The sequence below is a fragment of the Homo sapiens genome, chromosome 18 (assembly GCF_000001405.40).
Source record: "Homo sapiens chromosome 18, GRCh38.p14 Primary Assembly".
Classification (NCBI taxonomy): Eukaryota; Metazoa; Chordata; class Mammalia; order Primates; family Hominidae; genus Homo; species Homo sapiens.
The window spans coordinates 43,305,323-43,330,869 of NC_000018.10; positions in this window are offsets into that span (position 1 = coordinate 43,305,323).

Sequence of the window (25,547 nt, forward strand, 5' to 3'; positions counted from 1 at the left end):
CAAGTAGCCTTGTCCAGGTTGTATGGTTTGTCACAACATCTCCACATGAACAGACATACTGTGTAAAATTAGTGCCCGTTATGCCATTTCATGAAGCAGAATGCAGCCCAAAAGGGGTTCTGCCACCTAGACACATACTTTAGTAGCCAGTGACAAAATGCTTAATAGTACTTCATGAGCAAGGGGCCTAAGGAATTGCTAAAACAACTTCTGGGTCAGGTACAAAGAGTATCATAACCTAATCAAAGTGAAACTAGGGTGGAGAATGAAGGTTTAACGGTAGTCTCAGGCAGTGTTCTCAAGGCTTAGACTATATCTGATTTAGATATCTTTGTCTTCACATGTATTGGTTATTTCTATCCATTTGAAGCTAATGTGTCCTTTGGTGGAGTTCAAGCTGGAAGGATCAAAGTAAAAGCAAAACAACATGAGTAACCTGCAAGGTCTAATGAGGTAGAGAGGGGGCTGGTGGCAGGACATTTAAGGTTGCATTATAGTTCTGTGTGATTTTAAATTCACAATGTGAGGCCCTGGTCCACAACCCAAAGGACTGAAGAAGGACTGAAGGGAATCAGATCTTGTTACACACATAACTCAGCTCAGCCCAATGTATGTCATATAGAACATGAGCTGGGTTACACAATAAGAAGAACATGAAGGAGGAGTCAGCTCTAAGGCCCTGGTGGCATACTCCCATATTGGGAGGGGCCATGCAAGAAGCCTGGGCGCTCTATCCAAGTTATTAGGGATCCACATTAGATCTTGGCCTGAAGAGAAGTCTGGGACATCAGGAAGAGTGCCTGAGAATTTAAAGATAAAAAGAGGAAAAAATGCTCAACCCCAAGTCTCTGGAGTAGGCCAACGCATCTAAGCCACATGCCGTAAAGTCCTGCGAGCCTATGGAAATGTTTCAGGTACCACGTGCAAGGTTGCAGCTGTACAAGGGAAATCTGGGTGTTCCACACTGGGTTCTATCTACTTTATGTTGCTTAACAAGTACCTCCTATCTGTTTTACATAATAGATTTCCATGAAAAATTCCATTTGAAGAAAGTATTCAATCAAAAAGCCTCTAAAAGTTTACTTGACTAGACAATAAGGGCGATAAGAATGCAGCATCTCAGAAACCAGACTGTAGTCTGTTCTGGTGAGCATCATGTTTTGCCCCCAAGGATGGTTGATGGCACTTAGGCTTCTGTGCTGTTATGGCAGGTTAAAAAACTGAGATAGCCCTTAAAGAGGTGGCTGTCTGGAAAAGTGATGGGCAAAAAGACAGGCAAGGGCACCTGAGATCTGTACAACACTCTACAGTGTAGAATGATGAGTGGGTTGAGTACATGCACTGATGTCTGCTATACTCTCAGAAACCAAGGTTGGCGAACAGATTCCTGTGCATGACCTCTGCCAGTGGCAGGAGATTTGATCAGACCTTTGATTTTACAAGAAAAGATACATGGGTTCTTCATCCAATCCACTGATTTAATCAAATTTGTGAAGAGGTTAAAAGCATCACAGATTGCTGTATTATTTTCTTTATACATTGCCCCTGAACTATAGATAATTGTGGCTACAGCTGTTCATGAAATATTCATTCATTCAAGCATGGCTTAAGAAAAGTCAAGAACAATGAAATAATTTAACTGGGGCAAACTTGTTCTAAAGGTCACCCATATATTTCTTCCAAAAAATATTCTGGCAGAGAATCAGAAAAGATAATGATTTTATCATATAAAAATATCAAATTGAGCCAGGTTATTGCACTGGAAAAATTCTAATTATATTGTTTCAAAAATGTGCCAAAGAGGACACATTTATACCTTGTACAAGCAAGTCCTTTTTGGTTTCCCCTACATTGCATGGTAGAACTCAGTCTATTAAAAAATTTTCCCCAAATATCTACTGCTATAACCATGGAGAAGCAGGAATTTGGAAAGTTTGTGTATAAAATGTATAGTAAATATGTATTTGAGATGTGTCATTTTTCTATTCGATTCCTGTCCCTTCCTTCCCTGACTCAAGAAGTTCCCTTCAAAGTTATAATTTCCTCAGTAAGAAAGTTTGTAGACAGGTTCGTGGAAAGAGGGTTTATCTGATTAGAAATACGGTAGTTCATATGAGTACTTAAAGTTTGAAAATATGTTTCAAGAAGTCATATCTAATGAAGAATTTCAAAACCTGTATTTGAGGGCTGAGGTCAAATTGAGTTCCAAAAAAAGAGATCAACCTAGTATTTGTGATTGCTAACCATGCGATTGTGCATGACTCCCAGAGGGTCACTAGAGATATGTACTATGAATGAAAAGCAAACCATAGGGTCTGTGGTTCTCAGTAAATGACAGCAACAAAATCCAGAGAAATTCCTGGTATAGATTTTGTAAAAGAGGCTTAGTAAAATAGTTCAAACTTAATGTTTGTACGTTATAGTGAAAAGTAAATAAATATTACAAAAGAAATAAGTCATAATGAAGTCTAGTTAAAATATTGAGAGCTTATAGAAAAATATGCTATCATGTTAGGAAAATTGTTAAAATTTTAGCCACAAATGTACTATAATTTACACAAATAAGAGAAGCACTCTTGAAACAACTGAATTTTAAGATTTCAAGGGATTTTAAAAGTCAATTGGCTTAGTGGCTCCATTTTCAAACATCCCAAGTGGGATCCCATATAGAAGGCCATTGGTTCCTGAACCTACCTATGGGACCATGAGGAAATGGCATTCTGATTAAACTCACAGCCTCAAGAGCTAAGCAGACCCCTTACCAATAATACAACTTTAGCAAGTGACTTGACCTCTCTAAGCCTCAATTTCTGCATTTGTAAAATGGGTATAAAAATAGAACAGTTGATCCTCCTTATTCACCAGTTCTATATTTTGAATCTGCTTACTCACTAAAACTTATCTGCAACCACAAAATTGATACTCCTGGTACTTCCATGTTCATTTGTGATCATGCACAGAGCAACAAAAACTTTGACTTGCTTAATGTGTACATCCCCAGCTGAGGGTCAAACAAGGCAACTCTCTGCCTTCTTGTTTCAGCTCTCCTACTACAAACGACTGTAGTTTTCATCATATATTTAGTGCCATGATGTACCTATTTTTGTGTTATTTGTTGCTGTCTTCACCAATTAAAAATGGTCCCCAATCATAGTGCTGAAGTGCTATCTAGTATTCCTAAGCACAAGACGGCTGTGATATTCCTTATGCAGAAAAATGTGTTAGATAAGCTTTATTCCAATGTGAGTTATACTGCTATTTGCTGTGAATTCAATGTTAATTAATCCATATTCTATATTAAATAAGATGTCTTTAAACAGAAATGTTTATAAGACAAGGTTATGTATTTATTGGTTAGTAAAAGTGTTATAACCAGAGACTCATAGGAACCTAACCCTGGATTTTCCCTAGGAGCATTGGTTCAGTGTTTGATAACTCATGACAACATTATAGAACATAACTACCATAAATAACAGTAATATACTCTACTTACCTCTCTCAGGAGATAATATATTTTCATCTGCTTAGTACTGGACTCAATACTTGGTACATAAAATGCATTTAATAAAAATAAACACTGTTATTAAATACAATATCATAAGGAAGTCTTTTCCATTTCCAGATATTTCACATTAACTAACTTTTACTAATTTGTTGCACCTGAAAAATTGGTGTGTGTGCTATGTCTATCTTTGTTCAGGTGGCCATTGCAATGCAAACCATGGCTAGTGCCTTAGTTTGTTCAGGCTGCTATAACAAATTATCATAGATGGGGTGGCTTACAAACAACAGAAATTTTTTTCACACAGTTATGGAGGCTGAAAAGTCCAAGTTCAAGGCACAGGCAGATGTGGTGTCTGATGCAGGTCCCACTTCTTCATAGCTGGCTGTCTTCTCACTGTAACCTGGCATGGCAGAAAGGGTGAGGCATCTCTCTGGAGTCTTTTTTTTATCAGGACACTAATCACATTTATAAGGGCTTTGCCCTTCTAACCTAATTGCCTCTCAAGTTCCCTACCTCCTAATAACATTATACTGGGGGCTAGTATTTTAGCATGTAAAATTTGGGAGAGCATATACATTCAGTCCACTGCAGTAAGGTTGACATGAATTTTCTTTGTTTCCTTATTCAAAACCTCCCCTTTGATCTGTGTCAACAAACACATTCGTAACACTCATTGAACATGGTCGTTTGACCTGTTACAGAGAAAATATTTCTCAATCATCAGTGTTTCCTGACTTTGGAGGGGGATTTAGATATAAATATATCTATAGATATGGATGTACCTACTTGGCAACATGTTATAGTGGGAATAATGCTTTGCTAGTGTGGTGGGAACAGCCTTGTTCACTGAACTTGTGAACTGTTTCTTCCCCGGGAGACACAACTAGATGACATTTCCCAGCCTTTCTTGACATTAGACTGAGTTTTACTAATGAAATGTGAGAAGAAATTATGCCACTTCTGAGCCTGGCCTATAAAAACATCCCACGTTCTTTCCTTTTACACGGCTTGATGCAGGCAAAGACTGTGACTATGGAAGCTGCTGGTAAAACCTATGTGTTTGAATTACACTTGGAGGAAATTGCACATCAGTTATGAGCACATACTTTAGACTTTATATGAATGATAAATAAACTTCTGTTATATTGAACTATTATATATTTTGGCATTTATAGCAACAACCTTACTTATATAGCTGGGATTCAGAAGACTTAAATTTTGGTATGGGTTCTACCATTAGATGATGATGAGGTTTAAACTCAAATGAGGTATTTAATTTTGTCATATCTCAGCATTCATCTGTATAATGGAACTAATAATGCTTTCTCAACCCATCATACAGGATCAGAAGAAACTCCTAATAAGATAATGGATCTGAGAGTACACTGCAAGGCATGATATATGATATGAATGCAAAGCACTATAAAATAATTTGGGGTGCCCATGTCTCTCAAGTGACCAGTAAATTGAATTAATACATCCACTCTGTGAAAAACAGATCCTGCTTCTTCTACATATGAATGATTTCCTGCTCAGCTTTTGTAATTCTAATTAGTATAGATGGAACATCATGATATTCTGACGAGATGGTTAGCACATAGCTTCATGTAGCCCTGCCTCTTACACCACAATGTGGAAATACTCCCCTGTGTATCATTGTCCAAAGTGAAAGCACTAAATTACAAATAAAGGTCAATTATAATCTAGTCTACAACTTCACTCAGGTCTAAATCACATTAATCTCTGCAGTAGATGTTTAAGTGAAAAATACACCAAAGTGTGATGTAAGCACTCAGGAAGATGATGCTAATGGTTCATTTCTGAAAACCTAAAGAAGCGTTTCAAATTCATCAATCCATTTTTTCATTTTTTCTATTAATTATTTAACATATTGACTTTCATATATAAAGTAAAAATATGTATTTTAACTTAAAAACATGCTGATTTAAATTTTTTGAGGGATGTAGAAAATTTTTCATATCACTAATCATCAGCGGATTTAAAATCCACACTGCTAAAAATTATCAGATGGAGCAAGACACCTGTTTCCTTACAAGCTAAGATACACCTGGGGCACCACTGTAGGTGTTCCAAAATTTCACCTGCCTCATCCCAGTCTCCACTCCCCACTCACCACTTTCTACAACACATCTATAGGTCCTATCATTTCTAGAATTCTTCATTTGTAAAGTATATAAACTTTTAAACTTTTACTTTATAAGAAGGAGATCATGATATGTATAATCTTTTGAGGATGACTATTTCCACTTACTTGCTAGGGTTCATCTGGATGATGCCACATCACTGCTGTTTATTTGTTTTGACGGTTGCATACTGTGGGAGGTAGGATTATGGAAAAGAAAGATGTTCTGGTCCTAATACTCAGAATGTAGGAATGGGTTAAATTACATGGCAAAGGAGAATTAAGGTTGTATATGGAATTGGTGGGGGTAGATATGGACATTATCCTGGATTATCAGGATGAGCCCTGTGTAATCATAAGCATTCTTTCAAGTGGAAGAGGGAGGCTAGAGGAAGCATTTCAGAGTAATTCTATGTGAGAAAGACTCTACTAGGCATTGCTGGCTTTTAATATGGAAGGGAACAATGAATCAAAAAATATAGAAAACTTCTAGAAGCTGAAAAAGCAAAAAAATTAAAAAAGGATTTATCTCTGAAAACACAGCCCTGCTGACACCTTGATTTTAACACAGTGATACTATCTCAGACTTCTGAACCCCCAGAACAGTAAATTAATAAATCTGTATTGTTTCAACTCACAAAGTCTGTAGTAATTTGTAGCAGCAGCAATAGAAAACTACCACATCACTCTTTGACTCTCCCATTTAGGAATGCTTGTGTTGTTTCTAAGCTGTTAGTATTGTGAACAGTGATTCTGAGAACATTCCTGTACACACCTCTTTTTGCACATGTGCAAGTTTTTCTCTTTGGTATTTACTTCAACATGAAATTGCTGTGTCTATGGATGTGCAAATGGTCAAACATAAGAGATCAATTAAAATTATCATCCAAAGTGGTTGCACAAATTTATATCCCTAGAAACTATGTATAATAAACTATGTAATTTTACATCCTCTTGACATTGTTAAATTTTTAAATTTTATCTATTTTTTTCTAATTGCATAATATTGATTTGCAATTCCCTGATTACAAGTGATATTGGGCATATCTTGTTTGTTTTCTGGTCAACGTGCTCTTTCCTATAAAATATTTATTTTTTTCACTTATTTTAAAGTTAGGTTATTGGGTTTTTTATTTGTTAGAGATTTTATGCATTTTTATACTAATCCTTTGTCAGTGATGTAGACAAAAATTTCTGAGGACTTGCATGACTGAGACATTTAATTTGAGAGTAGTTTTAAGTAACCATTTAGGGTCCTTCAATACTTTGAAGACTATGTTGCATGTTACATGTAGCATAATCTTAAAAAATATCTTTGCCTTTGAATATGATCTATAATGTCTCTAAACTTCAGAAATTTTCTTGGTGTCTACAGTATTAGCATATCTCATTATTATGTCTACGTGTCTCTCCTTGTTGGCACTTTCTACGCACTTTCAAATTGTGGCATATCATCTTTTTTTAAATTATAGAAAATGTGTCTCCATTATTTACTCAAGTGTTTGTTCCTTTTATTTTTCTCTCTTTCTAGATTAGCTGCATGCCAGAATTATTATTTATAACTTCTTTATATCTTAGCTGTGTTTTGCTATTTCTTTATTTTTTCCTTTTTTATTGAGGGTAAATTTATTTTTTAAATCTGATCTTATAGCTTGCTAATTCATTCCTCAGATGTACTTCATCTTTTTGTTTTTAAAATGAATTTTAGGTATTATACTCTTCATACATTTCTGTTTAGTTCTTTTACGCTTTCTTGAGTTTATTTTATGTGGCTAATCTTCACACTGGCATTGTGAAATCACTAGTATTTCCAAGTGACCAGCTGAGATATAATTGCTTGACTGAATCAAAACACTCTAGGTTGTGATTCAATTTTAATCTTAATTCTTTCAAAGGTATATTTGTAATTTAAAAGTAAGAAACAAATAGACTTTTAATTTATAGAATACGTGGGCTAGTAGATTTTAGCAAAAGGTATTTTTAAATTTCTCAACTAATTTCTGAGCCATCTGAGCTCTCCACAAGAGGCACAGCATAGTAGGAGATATTTAATACTAACTTCTTAAAGGCTGCTAGATTTAGGGACTGATTCATTCAGAATCAGTCCAGAACAGTGCCTGACTCACACACAGCAGCCACCCAGTAAATATTTGCTTAATGAATCAACAAATAAGTACCTTGTGAGGATAGCATAATTTAGTGCTCTGCACTTCTTTAATTAATCAGAGTAGAAAACTCCCAAATGAAAATAGATAAGTATGTTTCTGATTTGCCTGATATTTCTAAAGCTGTGTGGGTGGGCCACAACAGAATAATGTGCACCTTAGTCAGATTCTATAGACTGTGATGCTTTTAAGAAGGTAATGTGGTGCACAATGTCTCTGTTACATCATTTCACTGAAAATTCTCCACTATGGAGCTCAACAGAGTAAGTGTATACCTTTAATAAATACCAATTAAAGCATTTTTTTCCTTGGACTTGGATTTTTGTCTTGAATTTTTTAATGGACTTTATGAAGTTGAGGAGTAGCACCCTATAAAAACAACATTTCCTGCCTTCTCGAATCCTGTTATGGATCAAGTGTCTCTAGTATTTATAGCATTGATTTAGACAAGAGGTAGGGATGCAATTTCAGTACAGGGCCAGAAAGTAATTATCATAGGATTTGGGGGCCAAATGGTGTCTATCACAATTTTTCAATTTGCCATAGAGTGTGAAAGCAGTCACAGATAATATGTAAATGAAGAGGCTGTGGCTGTATTACAAAAAAAAAAAATTCTCATTTACGGAAGCCAGTGGCAGCCTGGATTTGGCCTGCAGGCTAAAATTTGCAGTTCACTGACCACTGATTTAGACATTTCAAGTAATCAAAGACACATACATGGTTGGTTATGTCAGATCGATCTGAAATCCAAGCCAGCATAGTATAAATTAGGGATTTCATATTTAGATGAAGCTCAATAGGCAGCCAAGGCCCAAATCTTAAAACATTATTATGATCAATTCCAAAGAATTTGAATTGTATCAATGAGAATTTGTTACTGAGTTTCAAGCAGGGCAATAATACAAACAAATCTTTATTTACAGATCAATCACAGGAGCAACGAGAGGGAGGTGAAGCTGGAGAACAATCAACTAAGAAGTCATTCAGCAACCAGGTTAACAAAATATGAAAGCCTAACTCAAGAGAAAGTGATTGTGGTAATTATGAGGAAGGTTGGATTTGCATCTTCTAATAGGTTTAAAATTTCCAGGATGCAGTGAACCTAATTAGAGTTGGAAAATGAGCAAGTGAAAATCTCCTAGAAAGATCCAGAGCTTTGTTTAGACTTGAGCCTCTGGGTGAATGCTGGTGCCCTTTACTAAAAGAGAAGACACAAAAGGCATATCTGATTTAATAGGGTAAAGTGATGAGCTCCTTTTAAGATACTGGAAGTTTATATTGCCTGTGAAGTATTAAAGTGGAAATGTCTAGTAGGCTGTTGGTCATTTTGCCTCTGAGCTTAAGAGGTAGGTGTACATGTCAAAGAACAGTGAATTGAGCATGGAACTCTGTGAGCAACAGTATATAAGGGAAGGATGAAGGAAGATGGAATTAGTGGAAGATCTGCATTACTGTTTTTCTCATTACCTTTTTCATCTTCCCTTCGAACCTTGAAGTTTTCCAGGTTGCTGTCGTTCTTCCCCTCTTTCTTTTGTCATTCTGTGAGTTTTTTCTCTGGACAGTTTTATCCATTTATACATTTGGCACCAAGTTTATGAAACTTCCATACACTATTTATTTTCTGAAACTCTAATGTATTTCCAGTTAAATATAAATAGGTCCAGCTGCAGACAACATAAACTTAAAATGTCAAATACTCATCTAATATTCTTAACCCAAGTAACACCCCCAACCTCTGAACTCTCAAGAAAAAATAACATTGTCAACATCTATGCAGTATACTTCCCTTATCTTTCACATGTAGTCAACAACCCAGCACATGGACTCTCCTCAGGTGTTTCTTCCTCTCCACTTATATGATCCATAACTTTACCACCTCCTGCCTTAGATAACTGGACATCTTATCTGGATTACTCTGTCTCAATGTCTACTAATTCCTGTCCATGTTCCACAGTGCTGTGGAATGATCTTACAGAAAAGGAATCTGGTTGTTTTGCATACTTAGAACGATTTAGCCCATGATGCTCTCACCACCAACAATGATGTATGATGTAAGATTTGACAGCAACTCTTTTTGGACTCTTTGAAGGAATGTGTTGCCTGTCATCGCAAAGGAGTTGAATACTAATTAAGACCAAAGCCACCTGAGAAACAGAGAGAGAGCCTTTCACAAATATTTTACCGTGTTAATTTTCCAAATAAACTTCCTTCAATAATATTCTCCTCTTATAATATAATTCTCACATCTCTTTGATAAGAGGAAATAAAAGAACTTCTCAGGAGAAGTTGCTACTATAATGTCATATTTTTTGTGTATTCCAAATATTAATAACCCAAATTCCAGACTTCCTATTCCAGTCACATTTTTTCCAACATCTTTCTTTAACAAGAGTTATGTCTGGAACCAATTTGATGAGCTGGGAAAAGAAGACAAGGAGTTAATATAATGAACATCTCTGCTTAGTATTCCAAGCAATTTTTTCTTAAGATAAAATTTTGCTTCTCCATTTACTCCTCCACAACTCTGCAGCTTACTGTTAATTCAATTTAAATATTATGCCTTCAGTAGTAACAACAAAAATGGTAAAATAGTAATGATAAAGCTAACAATCATACATTGCTTCAAAATGTCCGGCATTGTAAATCCTATACATATGTTAACTCATCCAGTCTCCAAAACCAACAAAGGAAGTAGTTGTCCTTGTTTGGAGATGAGGAAACTGAGATGTGAAACTTGCTCAGGGTGATGGAGTGTATATGTACTTGAATTGAGTATGTATCATGAAATCTGATTAAAGGGTTCACGTTCTTATCCATTGCCCAATACTGCCTCTCTTAACTATATGCTCTACCAAAATCATATAATTAACAATATAAATTCATATTATTCTTGCCACTTCTATCACTTCTTGAATAAAATATAAACTCCTCAGCTTAGAATACAAAGAAGTTCAAATATTACTGCATCATATTTTGTCTCCAGCTTCCCAAGGGTTCTTCTGACACTGAGTCTGGACACATAATGCTCCCACTTCCCTAGAAAATCTCTACATGATTTGACTAATAACTTGGTGATAACTGGAAGGATCACAACCTGATACAGGAAATTTGTTGGCATTAGTGTCTTCTGTAAAGTGCGAATTAAAAAATTTTGGAGTGCCATCTCAATTACATTCGAATCCTTAAAACATAATAGGAATTCTGAAAATGCATTGATAGATAAATTTCAAAAAGCATATTATAATCTCTAATTACTTAAAGGCTTAACTTTAAAATATAATATGTTTGGTTGTGTTCTTAATTTATTAATGCTAAATTAAAGACAAAAATAAACTTTTGTTTTTTGCATGTCTCATGGTCCCTAACTATGGAACCACATGTCACTTTTGATTATATTTTGAAAATCCTTTAAATTATTTATCCATCCATACACACGCACACACAATAAGGTGACTCTTTTGATTATGTGAGAAATACATAGAAGCTACATTGTCCTGCATTTTATTGTGAACATTCTGTGTTGCAATCCCTAAGGCAGTGCTTTAAAACAGACTATTTTCAGAGAAAAGTCTCCTTAGGAATTTTTTAAATTAATGTCTTCTGCATAATTGGTTTCATTTCAGAAAAACATTACAAATTGTTTAATATATCTATTTTTACAAATTTACGTTGTCTACAAAGTAGCAAAATAGAGCAGAAAAAAATCACTGGGTTGGTTTTAAACTGGCTTATTCCATGCATTTCTAAATTTAATATTCATTTGTTGAGTACCTTTTTGTGTGTTAAATCTGTCTTCAGGAAGTACACAATCTAATGGAAGATACTCATTCAACAGTGGATCTAATCCACAACTATTTATTCTGTGTGTAGAACATGCCTTGTATATTCTACACACATAAACAATGAACTGTAATAAATATTATATGTTTTCTGAGGTGGTCATGTATTGTGAGTGGGGATGAGTTTAATTTAGTGTGTTGTAACAGTGCCTGGGTGGGATGCCTTCTTGCCCTCGGAGACTGGATAGAGGAACCAGAAATAATTTCTAAAACGACAGAATTTACAGGATGAATTCTTGTTCATATGACCTTAGAGAACTAACTCAACCATTTTGAGCCTAAAATAATTTATAGGGAAAAGGATAAGATTTAACACAGACCATACAAGTTCTCTTATGAATTCAAAATATAAATTTTATAAATTTATGAAAAAAGAAGAAATATAGCTAATAAAAATCGAGAGCAGCATTTTTTCTTAGGCTCAAGATTTGCAACAAGGGCCTAAGTTTGAACTCTACAGAGCCTCAATTAGAAACTAAAGAATCTATACCATATATATAGATTCTATAAATTCCATATATAGATCACATTTATATCATGTGTCGATCATATATTACATCTATAGATCTTATATAACACATATAGATCATGTGTATAACATATACAGATCATCTATATACACACCATACATATTATTATCTATATACACACTATATATAGGTGATATATATACACATCAGATATTGTATATACACACACCATATATAGATCATATACATACACACCATATTTATAGATCACATACATACACATCATACATATAGATCGTATATATACACCATATTTATAGATCATATACATACACACCATATTTATAGATCATATACATACACATCATATTTATAGATTATATATACAAACACCATATTTATAGATCATAGGCATACACACCATATTATAGATCTATATATATACATACACATTTATAGATCATATACATACACACCACATTTATAGATCATATACATACACACCACATTATAGATTATATGCACACACACCATATAGATGATATATATACACACACCATATATATAGATCATATATCTATATAATCCCCAAACTGTTTTGACATCTATTCATCATTAAAAAATTAAGTATACTCCCCAATATGTAAATATTTATTCATTTATAAATTACATAAACATGGAACACACAGCTCAATCAATATACTTCTGCAGAATTAGACAAAGAGGGAATACTTTCTAACTCATTTTCAAATCTTGATACCTGAACCTTTCAAGAAAAAGAGAGGAAAAAACATTATAGTCCAATCTTGATCAAAAACCTAAATGTCAAAATTATAAAGAAAATGTTAATGAACGGAAACTGGCAGTACATTTTAAAAGATGCTAAAGTTGAGTTAAGCTGATAAATGTAAATTTGATTTAATATTAAAAAATAAAATAATATAATTTACCACATTAAAGGATTAATCGAGAAAAATTATGTCTTCAAGTCAGTAGATATAGAAAAGGCATTTGATAGAATTCAACAACGCACTGATGATTTTTTAAAAATCCTAAACTCCTTTTTAGCAAATTTGAAGTGAAAGAGGAAAAGTTCTCATCTGATAAGAGGTGTCTACAAAATTGCCCAAGGCAAACCTCATACTAAAACGTAAAGTGTTTTCTTTATAATTAGAAGTATGACAAACACACTTCTTATACCCTCACTTCGTTACTAACATATTAGAGGTCTTGGCTGTTGCTTTATGGCAAGAAAAATCAATAGAAATATGACTATAGAAAAGGAAGACATTAAATTGATATTTCCCTTTAGTCACAATTGTGTATGGAAAATTTCAGCTGAATGGTATTAGTTTAAATGGGTTACATTATCCTGTGATAATGAAGACACATTAAATTCCAGAAATTTAAAATAGTAAAAACCTATCTTCTGTTCACACTACATTCTAACAAAAGTGAATAGGGAATTCCTCACTGAATTCTCTCAAGGACTGCAGATGATGGTGGCCCAATTGAGACACATGATTTCATCATTATCTTGAGAGTGAGAATGAAAATTAAAATTGATCACCAGCAATTACATTTTTCCACCCAGAAGTGACAAGTGTAATTTCCACTCACATTTTATTTCACTGACCAAAGCAAGTCAGGAATATGCCTAACATCAAATGGATGAGAAAATGCAGCCCTCCAGATGGTCCCAGTGACTGGAATATTTGTGAATAATCATAATGGCAAACATTGGAATCTGCAGATCAAATATGATAACTAGTAAAAGTTCAACAAAGTTACATGATATGAAATATATGTATATATACACACAAAAAGCAATTGCACATTCACTAGAATAAATAGCTAGAAAATATAATTTTAAGACTCTTAATAATGTGAATTTGAATAAAATATACAAAGTTCCAGAAATAAATCTAAGATGCAAGACTGAAATGGACAAAAGTATAATACTTTATTAATAAAAATGAAAGAAAATTTAAATAAAGATATAATATGCTCCCAGAAGAATCTATACATTTTAATGTTATAACAGTCAATCTAAATTGATCCTTATGTTTGCTTGTTTTCATAAAATCAACAAATTCACTCTATAATTTATAGCAGAGAGCAAGGAACAAAGAATTGTTAAGAAAATTAACCAGGTAGAAAGACTTGTCTTATCAAAGAGCACAAAGTATTAATAGAGCATGAGATTAACACTTAAGCCAAAGCTATAGAATAAGAGCCCTTGAAGGAGCCATAACTATATGGAAAATTCATTTATAAAGTTGCCAAACTAGTGTTAAAGATTATTGAGAAAAGCATGGATTCATTAATAAATGATGCTTAAATAATTGGTATCCACTTGGCAAATAAATTAAAATGTGATGCCTACCTCAGAGCATACATTCCTGGCCTTTCATCCAGGCCCCACACTAACCTGTATCATTCATCCCCCTTTCTTCAACATGCCCTTCTCCCAGGCCATAGAATATTAATTATTTTGAGGGAAAAGGTAGGCTTTCTTCTGAAATTGATAAATCAAAATTTTAAAAATTATATTGTTTCTGCCATTAATTTCTACAGTCTGTTTTGGAAAAATAAAACAAAACAATTACTTTCATTCTCCTCTTTTCTAGCTGTGACATATATCTGTAGAGTAGGAGAAGGAAAATCATCCATTAACCTATGCATACTAGGGTATGGGAAGGCCACAAGTTAAAAAAAAAAATCTTAGAAATGAAAACACATTGGCTGTTATATGCCCAGAAGAAACTGGAGATATAAACACATTTTGGAAAACTATTATAATATTATAATTTCTATTTTCATGAGGGATGCGGTTCATGCATTGGGCTGAGGGCAGTGGAAATAGGCAAGAATGTATATACTCAAGTAGTACTATAAAGCAAGGATTGCAGCAATGTCATGTAGGTGGCAGTGGGAGATAGGAACATCGCCAACATTTTAAATTCTGATTGCTGGTAGACTCACCTCATTAGTGATGCAAATGGGACCTATAGTAGTCATAGGGCAAGTGGTTTTAGTGGTAAAGGTGATGGTAAGTGTTAGAGAACAATATTAAATGCAAACAAAAGTACCTAATAAATCTTCTGAAAGGTAAGGTTATTATACAGGTTTGAAGTTGCAGTTCAAGAAAAAAAAATCTGTGAAAAAATAGTGATTTAGTTGATTACTAAGTTCAGTATATACTGCTCAATTCTAGGCACATATATGAGCCAAGGCTACTGATTCAAATTTTTGGACTCCAAATCCTATGTTTTAATGAAATCTTTCCTTGTCAACATTGTGGATTATTTACACAAAGTAAATCTGACAGCAATTCTCCATTTTTTCCTCCCTTCTGATGTCCCTCCCTCCTGATGTCCCTCCCTCCTGATGTCCCTCCCTTCTGATGTCCCTCCCTCCTGATGTTCCTCCCTCTCTCCCTCCCTCCCAACCTAACTTCCTTCCTTCTTTCCTTCTTTCCTTCCTTCCTTCCTTCCTTCCTTCCTTCCTTCCTTCCTTCCCTCCTTCCTTCCTTCCTTCTTTCCTCCCTCCCTCCCTCCCACCTTTACTTCCTTCCTTCTTTCTTTTCTTTCTCTCTCTCTGTTTTATTTTAGAATGGAAGGAAAATTCACCTTGGCTGCCTCAGAGGTAATATAAGACTAGGCATAGAGATTTTTTCAATTTTACTCACCGTGGAAGCCTGAAAAAGGGGTTGTGATTAAGAGTATTTGTATTATTAAAACATTGTGATTAATAAGAAATAAGTATTACACTTCAATTTATTTATTAGATATTTATCCAAACTCTCCTTTGAATAGCTCTTATTACTGTTGAAAGAAAACTTAAACAACAGACGTTTCATCCATAAGACAACCACCAAAATCCCAGACAAGCAGGAAGACTAAGAAGTGCAGGGAGAGAATATTCTGAAGGTAGATCACAGAGCAGAGTGGAGAGCTGGCAAATTCATTAAGAAACAAAATTATGAAATACCTTCTAAGATACTTGGATATAGATGCGAGTTTGTATTATGCCATTCTATCCATGGATTTGTACTTACATGAACTTAAATCATAAGTGGATAAAATTATTTTAATTGAACTACTTAGAAAAACATCTATAGCAAAATCAAAAGTAAACTATGTGGTGCATTCCACTTTCCAGGGCACTGTATTATCGTGAAAGCATTTTACCTTAAATTATCAAACACATGTTTTATGAATAAGACCCTATAGCACAATGATTGGTCTACTTTGTATAAACATAATGATTTGCTCCCATTCTTTTTTTTTATTATTACACTTTAAGTTTTAGGGTACATGTGCACAACGTGCAGGTTAGTTACATATGTATACATGTGCCATGCTGGTGTGCTGCACCCATTAACTCGTCATTTAACATTAGGTATATCTCCTAATGCTATCCCTTCCCCCTCCCCCCACCCCACAACAGGCCCCAGTGTGTGATGTTCCCCTTCCTGTGTCCATGTGTTCTCATTGTTCAATTCCCACCTATGAGTGAGAACATGTGGATTCTTAATACAGAACGAATGTTTTTTTCCTTATGCAATTGATCTTGTTCTTATAGTGGCTGATTCAAAATATTGGGCCTGTATCTAGGGTATCATTGCACAACAGGAGTCATCCAGTAATAATTTTAAAATGTGCATTTTCTTTGATTTTGTTTTTCCTAATGTCTAGTTTCAATAACTGAACATTCCTTTAGCTAGCTTTCACTTAATTAAAAATCCTGTAGCAGAGTACTGAATGTGCCCACAAGTAAACCTCAAGCAGTGCAGATGGCCCCCTCTGCACTCAGAAGCAGAAAAGTAGTCCTCTGAAACAGCTGTGGGCTGGGAGGCTCTGAGTGGGCTCTGCCTTCTGGGATGCAAATAAGCAGAGTGTATCTGACTTGAATCTCCAGTGCTCTAACAGTGTATCGCTGTGATAAATATCTTTTCAGCTGCAGGAGTGTTCAAAATTTATTCTCTGCAGCTATATTTCTTTGCTGAGGTTGTCTGCTATCTGGAATGATGTGTATGCTACACATTGCCCAGAAAGCTGTGACTGCATATATGTAGGTATAGAGAATGCAGGCGTTGGAGAAAGCAAAGTCAATGATACCACAGATGTTTTCTTAGTTCCCATTTGATCTCCACCAAGAAACTCTAAGATGTGGGGTTAATTATACCTTTACTCATTTTTCCTCCAGTCGCTCATATATCAGAATTTGGGAAGATTCTAGCATCCTACAGCTTAATTGTGACCAACCCTTACCTTATCATGTTGAATAAGCAGTAGATATTGATTGAAACTAAGTACATTCCCATGTATTCCCCTGCCCTCAAATCCAAACGCAAAAAAAATCAAATTACCAAAGGGCGCAGAACTCAATTCCCTCTTTGTGAGCATGAGGAATCTTGCTGTAAAAGCAAACTGAAAATCAATGACCCCATGATATTCCCAAAGGCCTGTTATAGGAAAAGGGGTCTCAATCAGAATCAAGACATGCAAAGCACTTTGTGGTACAGTGTCTACATACCAGTGATTGCACTACGTTTTTGGATATCACTTTTAAATTAGTGAGAAATTACACTAAAGCCAGAGGAGATTGTTCCTATGGTTATTTCATCTTTATATGGGCAAGCTACCACTTTACATATTAGAAAAAAACAAAATCAGCACATTAACAAAGAATAAGCCAGCCTGGCCAACATGGTGAAAACCCGTTCTACTAAAAATACAAAAATTAGCTGGATGTGGTGACACGTGCCTGTAATCCCAGCTACTTGGGAGGCTGAGGCAGGAGAACCTCTTGAACCCACAAGGTGGAGGTTGTGCTGAGCCAAGATTGCACCACTGCACTCCAGCCTGGGCAACAGAGTGATACCCTGTCAAAAAAAAACCCCACAAAGAATAATTCTAGATGCTACATGCTGCTCACTACCCAAGTACAGGGACTAAATAACAGCCATTCTCAATCAATTAACTCCTAGGCTTCTCCTTAATACTCTAATTAACTGACTTTCTGTTATCTGAGTTATTATGCATTGGTAGAAAAGGAGAATTCTTTGGGGCCAAAGAATGCAAGCAATGTTAACTCTTATCTCATAGAGCATGGCTTTAATATGCTCTGTATAATAAATAATTAAGAAAGTGATAGAAGCAAAATTAATTTTTGGTTTTATGGGGCAGAATGTATTCATATCTATAAGAGAAGCTCTTCTGCTGACAGTGATTATTATACTTCATTTAAGAGCCAACAATTTAGTTACAGTATTTATCTATCACTTTAATAAGAAAACCAAATCAGCTGTTGTCCCTAATTACAATTACGGTGCTTTTTATTCAAGAACCAAAAACAGATTTTTGTTTTTAAATTGCCTTTTTTTTAAATGCTTAAGAATGCATTGAAATACAAGTCACTGTGTCAAGATTCAGAGTGGAAATGCAATCAAGATTTATATAGCAAATGAGCAAAGACATATAATCATTACAGTTGTAAGAAGAAGACACCCCTAGGAAGAGGTTGAATCTCTGAATAGACCAATAACAGGATCTGAAATTGTGGCAATAATCAATAGTTTACCAACAAAAAGAGTCCAGGACCAGATGGATTCACAGCCGAATTCTATCAGAGGTACAAGAAGGAACTGGTACCATTCCTTCTGAAACTATTCCAATCAATAGAAAAAGAGGGAATCCTCCCTAACTCATTTTATGAGGCCAGAATCATTCTGATACCAAAGCCGGGCAGAGACACAACAAAAAAAGAGAATTTTAGACCAATATCCTTGATGAACATTGATGCAAAAATCCTCAATAAAATACTGGCAAAACGGATCCAGCAGCACATCAAAAAGCTTATCCACCATGATCAAGTGGGCTTCATCCCTGGGATGCAAGGCTGGTTCAACATACACAAATCAATAAATGTAATCCAGCATATAAACAGAACCAAAGACAAAAACCACATGATTATCTCAATAGATGCAGAAAAAGCCTTTGACAAAATTCAACAACCCTTCATGCTAAAAACTCTCAATAAATTAGGTATTGATGGGACGTATTTCAAAATAATAAGAGCTATCTATGACAAACCCACAGCCAATATCATACTGAATGGGCAAAAACTGGAAGCATTCCCTTTGAAAACTGGCACAAGACAGGGATGCCCTCTCTCATCACTCCTATTCAACATAGTGTTGGAAGTTCTGGCCAGGGCAATTAGGCAGGAGAAGGAAATAAAGGGTATTCAATTAGGAAAAGAAGAAGTCAAATTGTCCCTGTGTGCAGACGACATGATTGTATATCTAGAAAACCCCATTGTCTCAGCCCAAAATCTCCTTAAGCTGATAAGCAACTTCAGCAAAGTCTCAGGATACAAAATCAATGTACTAAAATCACAAGCATTCTTATACACCAATAACAGACAAACAGAGAGCCAAATCATGAGTGAACTCCCATTCACAATTGCTTCAAAGAGAATAAAATACCTAGGAATCCAACTTACAAGGGATGTGAAGGACCTCTTCAAGGAGAACTACAAACCACTGCTCAATGAAATAAAAGAGGATACAAACAAATGGAAGAACTTTCCATGCTCATAGGTAGGAAGAATCAATATCGTGAAAATGGCCATACTGCCCAAGGTAATTTATAGATTCAATGCCATCCCCATAAAGCTACCAGTGACTTTCTTCACAGAATTGGAAAAAACTACTTTAAAGTTCATATGGAACCAAAAAAGAGCCCACGTCGCCAAGGCAATCCTAAGCCAAAAGAACAAAGCTGGAGGCATCACACTACCTGACTTCAAACTATACTACAAGGCTACAGTAACCAAAACAGCATGGTACTGGTACCAAAACAGAGATATAGATCAATGGAACAGAACAGAGCCCTCAGAAATAACGCCGCATATCTACAACTATCTGATCTTTGACAAACCTGAGAAAAACAAGCAATGGGGAAAGGATTCCCTATTTAATAAATGGTGCTGGGAAAACTGGCTAGCCATATGTAGAAAGCTGAAACTGGATCCCTTCCTTACACCTTATACAAAAATCAATTCAAGATGGATTAAAGACTTAAACATTAGACCTAAAACCATAAAAACCCTAGAGGAAAACCTAGGCATTACCATTCAGGACATAGGCATGGGCAAGGACTTCATGTCTAAAACACCAAAAGCAATGGCAACAAAGGACAAAATTGACAAATGGGATCTAATTAAACTAAAGAGCTTCTGCACAGCAAAAGAAAGTACCATCAGAGTGAACAGGCAACCTACAGAATGGGAGAAAATTTTCGCAACCTACTCATCTGACAAAGGGCTAATATCCAGAATCTACAATGAACTCAAACAAATTTACAAGAAAAAAACAAACAACCCCATCAAAAAGTGGGCGAAGGACATGAACAGACACTTCTCAAAAGAAGACATTTATGCAGCCAAAAAACACATGAAAAAATGCTCATCATCACTGGCCATCAGAGAAATGCAAATCAAAACCACAATGAGATACCATCTCACACTAGTTAGAATGGCGATCATTAAAAAGTCAGGAAACAACAGGTGCTGGAGAGGATGTGGAGAAATAGGAACACTTTTACACTGTTGGTGGGACTGTAAACTAGTTCAACCATTGTGGAAGTCAGTGTGGCGATTCCTCAGGGATCTAGAACTAGAAATACCATTTGACCCAGCCATCCCATTACTGGGTATATACCCAAAGGACTATAAATCATGCTGCTATAAAGACACATGCACACGTATGTTTATTGCAGCATTATTCACAATCGCAAAGACTTGGAACCAACCCAAATGTCCAACAATGATAGACTGGATTAAGAAAATGTGGCACATATACACCATGGAATACTATGCAGCCATAAAAAATGATGAGTTCACGTCCTTTGTAGGGACATGGATGAAATTGGAAATCATCATTCTCAGTAAACTATCGCAAGAACAAAAAACCAAACACCGCATATTCTCACTCATAGGTGGGAATTGAACAATGAGATCACATGGACACAGGAAGGGGAATATCACACTCTGGGGACTGTTGTGGGGTGGGGGGAGGGGGAAGGGGTAGCATTGGGAGATATACCTAATGCTAGATGACCAGTTAGTGGGTGCAGCACACCAGCATGGCACATGTATACATATGTAACTAACCTGCACAATGTGCACATGTACCCTAAAACTGAAAGTATAATAAAAAAAAAAATTAAAAAAAAAAGAAAAAAAAAAAAAGAAGAACACACCTTGCTAAATATCATATTCTCATTTCATTTATGTATCACATTACAGCTTTGCTTTTCGGAAATTTAAAAACGAGGTGAAAAATCCATGAGCCATTCAAGATGTAAGCAAATTAAGTAACTATTGTCCAGGACACGGTCTTCACATCTGGGTATAATGAAGCTATCCAGGAAATGCCACTGTGAAAGTAATACTTTATCTTGAATCTAACACAAATTTATTATGCAAGAAAATCTTGCTCTACTTCTCTTTTTACATTAAAAAAAAAAAGTTTCACAAAGACATTACATAAAATTCAACTGGTAGATCTCCACTGAATTATTAAGTTATGTTAAATAAAAATTGTGGAAGACCACTGTTTTGGACTGAGCTCCTGCAATAGACCTTAACAGACCAGACTAAACCAAATTGAAGTCACTCAGGCCATATGCCACAAAATAAAACTGAAACTTGAAGGAAGCAGATAGATCTGAAAACAGAACTTTTTCTTTTCCTAAAAATAGAGGATTCCAGAGGGTTTTCTTTTCCTAAAAATAGAGGATTCCACTGAGTCAGTGTAATAGGATGTCCACTCCACTCTAACCCTTACAAAGAAAGTAACCTGAGCAAACCTGATGTTAAGCAATCAGTTAATCAGTTTTTTTCTATTGTTCTGTTTTCTTGTTTCCACCTTAACAAAATCCACAGTTCTGCCATTGTCAAGTGGGTGCTCTCATTCAATTTTGTGGAACAGAGACTGCCCAAATTCATGAACTGTGAATAAAAGCCAATTGCATAGATAAGTAAACCTGTAATTTTGTCCTTTGGCAGTAAAGATTTTCTTAGTGACATCCTTACCACTTAAAGCATATTTCTCAATGGTAGTAGAACTATGAGGTTCTATAGAAAACATCCTTAATTTTCTTCTAGGTCAAAAATAAGCTCCTTGGTTAGAGGTACTCCTGACCAATTATTAGATTAGTACATCAGCTCTTAGGATCTCAAGCCCTGCTTATAAATGTTTTCTAATTTTTAAAAGTTTGTTACAATTGTATTAATTTAGATTTTTAGGTATAAAAATATAAAGTTCAGTTCTAAGAGATGATACAACTCATGAATATATTTTATTTACAAATACTAAAAAACTCTACTGAGATTTAAAGCTAAGAACCCCATACATAATCTCCATTTAATAATTAATCAACTACACTGTTTATCTATATTTGGGACCAACTGTCAGAATGCTGACATCATGGATATCCATGCCTTCTTAGTCAAAAGGAGGGACTCCTAAAAACTGGCAATGTGCAGATGAATATAATTGACCAGAGCACTTGGTGCTCAGCTTGGGAGGGAAGGAGTATTGGAACCTCATCAGTGGACAAGGGAGTGCTAGAACTCTAGAACACTGACTTGTGACACTTCTGCAGCTGGTGAGAAAAATAAGCTTGTTTGCAGATTCTACATTACATATAAAGCATACCTATGTATCAGAAAAAGGAGCTACTCTAATGTAATCTCCATACTGGTCCCAAACCGGCAACAGCAATGGTTATACAAAGGCAAGAATTCTTAATCTTTGCTTTAGGTTCTGTTGTGAATGCTTAAAAATTGTATACATAATTATGTATGTGTTTGTGTGTTTGTGTGTGTGTATGTATGGAGAATTAATAGCTTTGATTTGTTTCTCAAAGAAAACTGCCATAATTTTCACAACTATACACCTCTGAATTGAGTACAAGTCATTGACACAAAAGCAAACACTTAGCTTTTAATATAATGGAAGGGCCATCACTGGAGGCAGACAGAACTTGTTTTGCTCCATTGGCCCAATGTTTGTAGGGCTAGAAAACTGCTAATCACTTCAGCTCAGAGAGTGTCCAGCATAGGGGCTGCTAGGAAGTAGGATATCTTTGTGACTATCACAAAAAGGAATACTTTTCTCTTCCAGGTTGATGCAACCCACATCAGGCACAGAATGCAGTTCAGCCTCTGTGGTTGTGTGACTTCATGAAGGTGTAGTGTAGCCTACATGCTTCTTATTAATGTGAACTCTGAAAATTTGAGACAGATCTCAGTTAATTTAGAAAGTTTATTTTGCCAAGGTTGAGGATGCGCATCCATGACACAGCCCCAGCAAGTCCTGATGACATGTGCCAAAGGTGGTTGGGACACAGCTTGGTTTTATGCATTTTAGGGCGATGTGAGACATCAATCAAGGTATGTAACACATAAATTGGTTCCGTCCAGAAAGGCAGGGACAACTTGAAACAGAGAGGGGGCATCCAGGTCACAGGTAGGTGAGAAAAAAGTGGTTGCATTCTTTTGAGTTTTTGATAAGCCTTTCCAAAGGAGGCAATAAGAATATGCATCTATCTCAGGGAGTAAAGGGATGACTTTGAATAGAATGGGAGGCAATTTGCCTTGACCAGTCCCCAGCTTGAATTTTCCCTTTAGCTTAGTAATTTTGGAGGCCCAAGGTATTTGCCTTTCACACTATAACACAGGAATAATTTGTGCAATATACTTTCACTTATTATAAGAAATAAGGATTGGGTCCAGTCCTATGCACTGAGGAGGCAGTTGTCTGTCAACAAATCAGACAAAATCTCTGCTCTCTTGGAACTTATATTCTGGGTGGTGGTAGTTTTTTGGGGGAAAGGAGTGGTAAAGAGGTGATAGTTAATTAAAGATGATATTTAAAGGTATTTAAAAGATATCCTGGAAATGAGACAGAGAGATAAAGAAAGTGGGAGAGTAGAAAATAAACTATATGATTTATTAGCATTCTCCTTGACATATAATAGGGAATTAAATAGGCTTTTATATATGGAAATTGTAATACGGAACATTATTGGGAAAAGGGCATGTTTCAATTCTAGTAAGTTCAAAGTATTCTCATATGCCACTACATTGTAAATGGTTTTCAAATCATTAAAAGGACACACTGTTTCAAATTACAGCCTACAAACAATTCAAACTGACAGTTTTTACCCTTCATGCTTGCTTCGAAGTCCCCAAGAAAAGATCTGAGGGTCTAAAGTTAGCTAGCCCCACCATATGAAATGGGACTACAGAAAGGAGGAAGGGACTTGGATTCTAACAAGCCGGCTACCTTCCTCATTCAAACTGACAGCAGAACCTAGTAGACAAAGGTTTAATGTCTTCTTGTATAAGCAATCTCTGTTGATAAAACATTTGTCTTTGTGGTTAGTCAAGGGGATATTTAATAGAGCTGTCAATCATTTTTGGAAGAGAAAAGATAAAAAATAAAAAAGGAAGTGCATGGAAGAACTTGTTCATTTTACCCCAAAACCATAATTTCCTTTTTAAGACTATGAAATTCCAGCCCCATTGTAGCGAACAGATTTGCCTGTTAGCAACTTGACAGGCTGAGGTGGCTACTCGTTATTTAATTTTCATAACAAAAAAGTGGGTGAGACTGTCATTACTTTTATTTTCATTTCTTCTAGAAGCTCTAAGAAAAGAAATTCTCCCTGGAGACTCATACAGGGTTAATAAAGCCACAACTTTTCTATACTGCTGAGCCACAGCTGCAGAAAAAGAGAGAAAGAAGAAGAAGAAAACAGGTCTGTCCTTGTTAGCTTTCTGTCTTGAAGCCTTAGATGTAACCTGGCCTCTTCCTGAGAAGGAAGGGAGCATTACTGCACTTACCCTAGCTCATTGAAGATGGAGGTACTGTGCTCACAAAATGAGGCTTTATTACTCTCTCCATTTGATGTCCAAATCCCAGAGCAACAATAAAATTATGCTTGTAGATGTGCGTGGGTCATTCTGCTGACCTTCTGACTTCCCAGCACAACTGACTGCATTTTTTCCTGTATAGTAATAAAAATCCTCACCCCATCTACTACTGCAAATATATCCCTTTCAATCCAGAAATTTTAATTTTTATCATAATTATTATCATTTTATAATATCTTTAAAACTTCCTAAAATCTGGACTGTCTCAAGCTCTTCCCTGGGGGTTTATTCAATTAGACAATATTTATTGATTGCCTATTATGTGCAAGATACTATGAGAGACAGAGAGATAAATATATGTGGTCTGGGGCCTAGAAAAGCTTACAACCTTCTCTTTTGTTCCAAAGTTTCAGAATTCGACCAAAATTGTAACAGCCTATTCCCCACAATGGGTGAGGTAGAATACAGTAT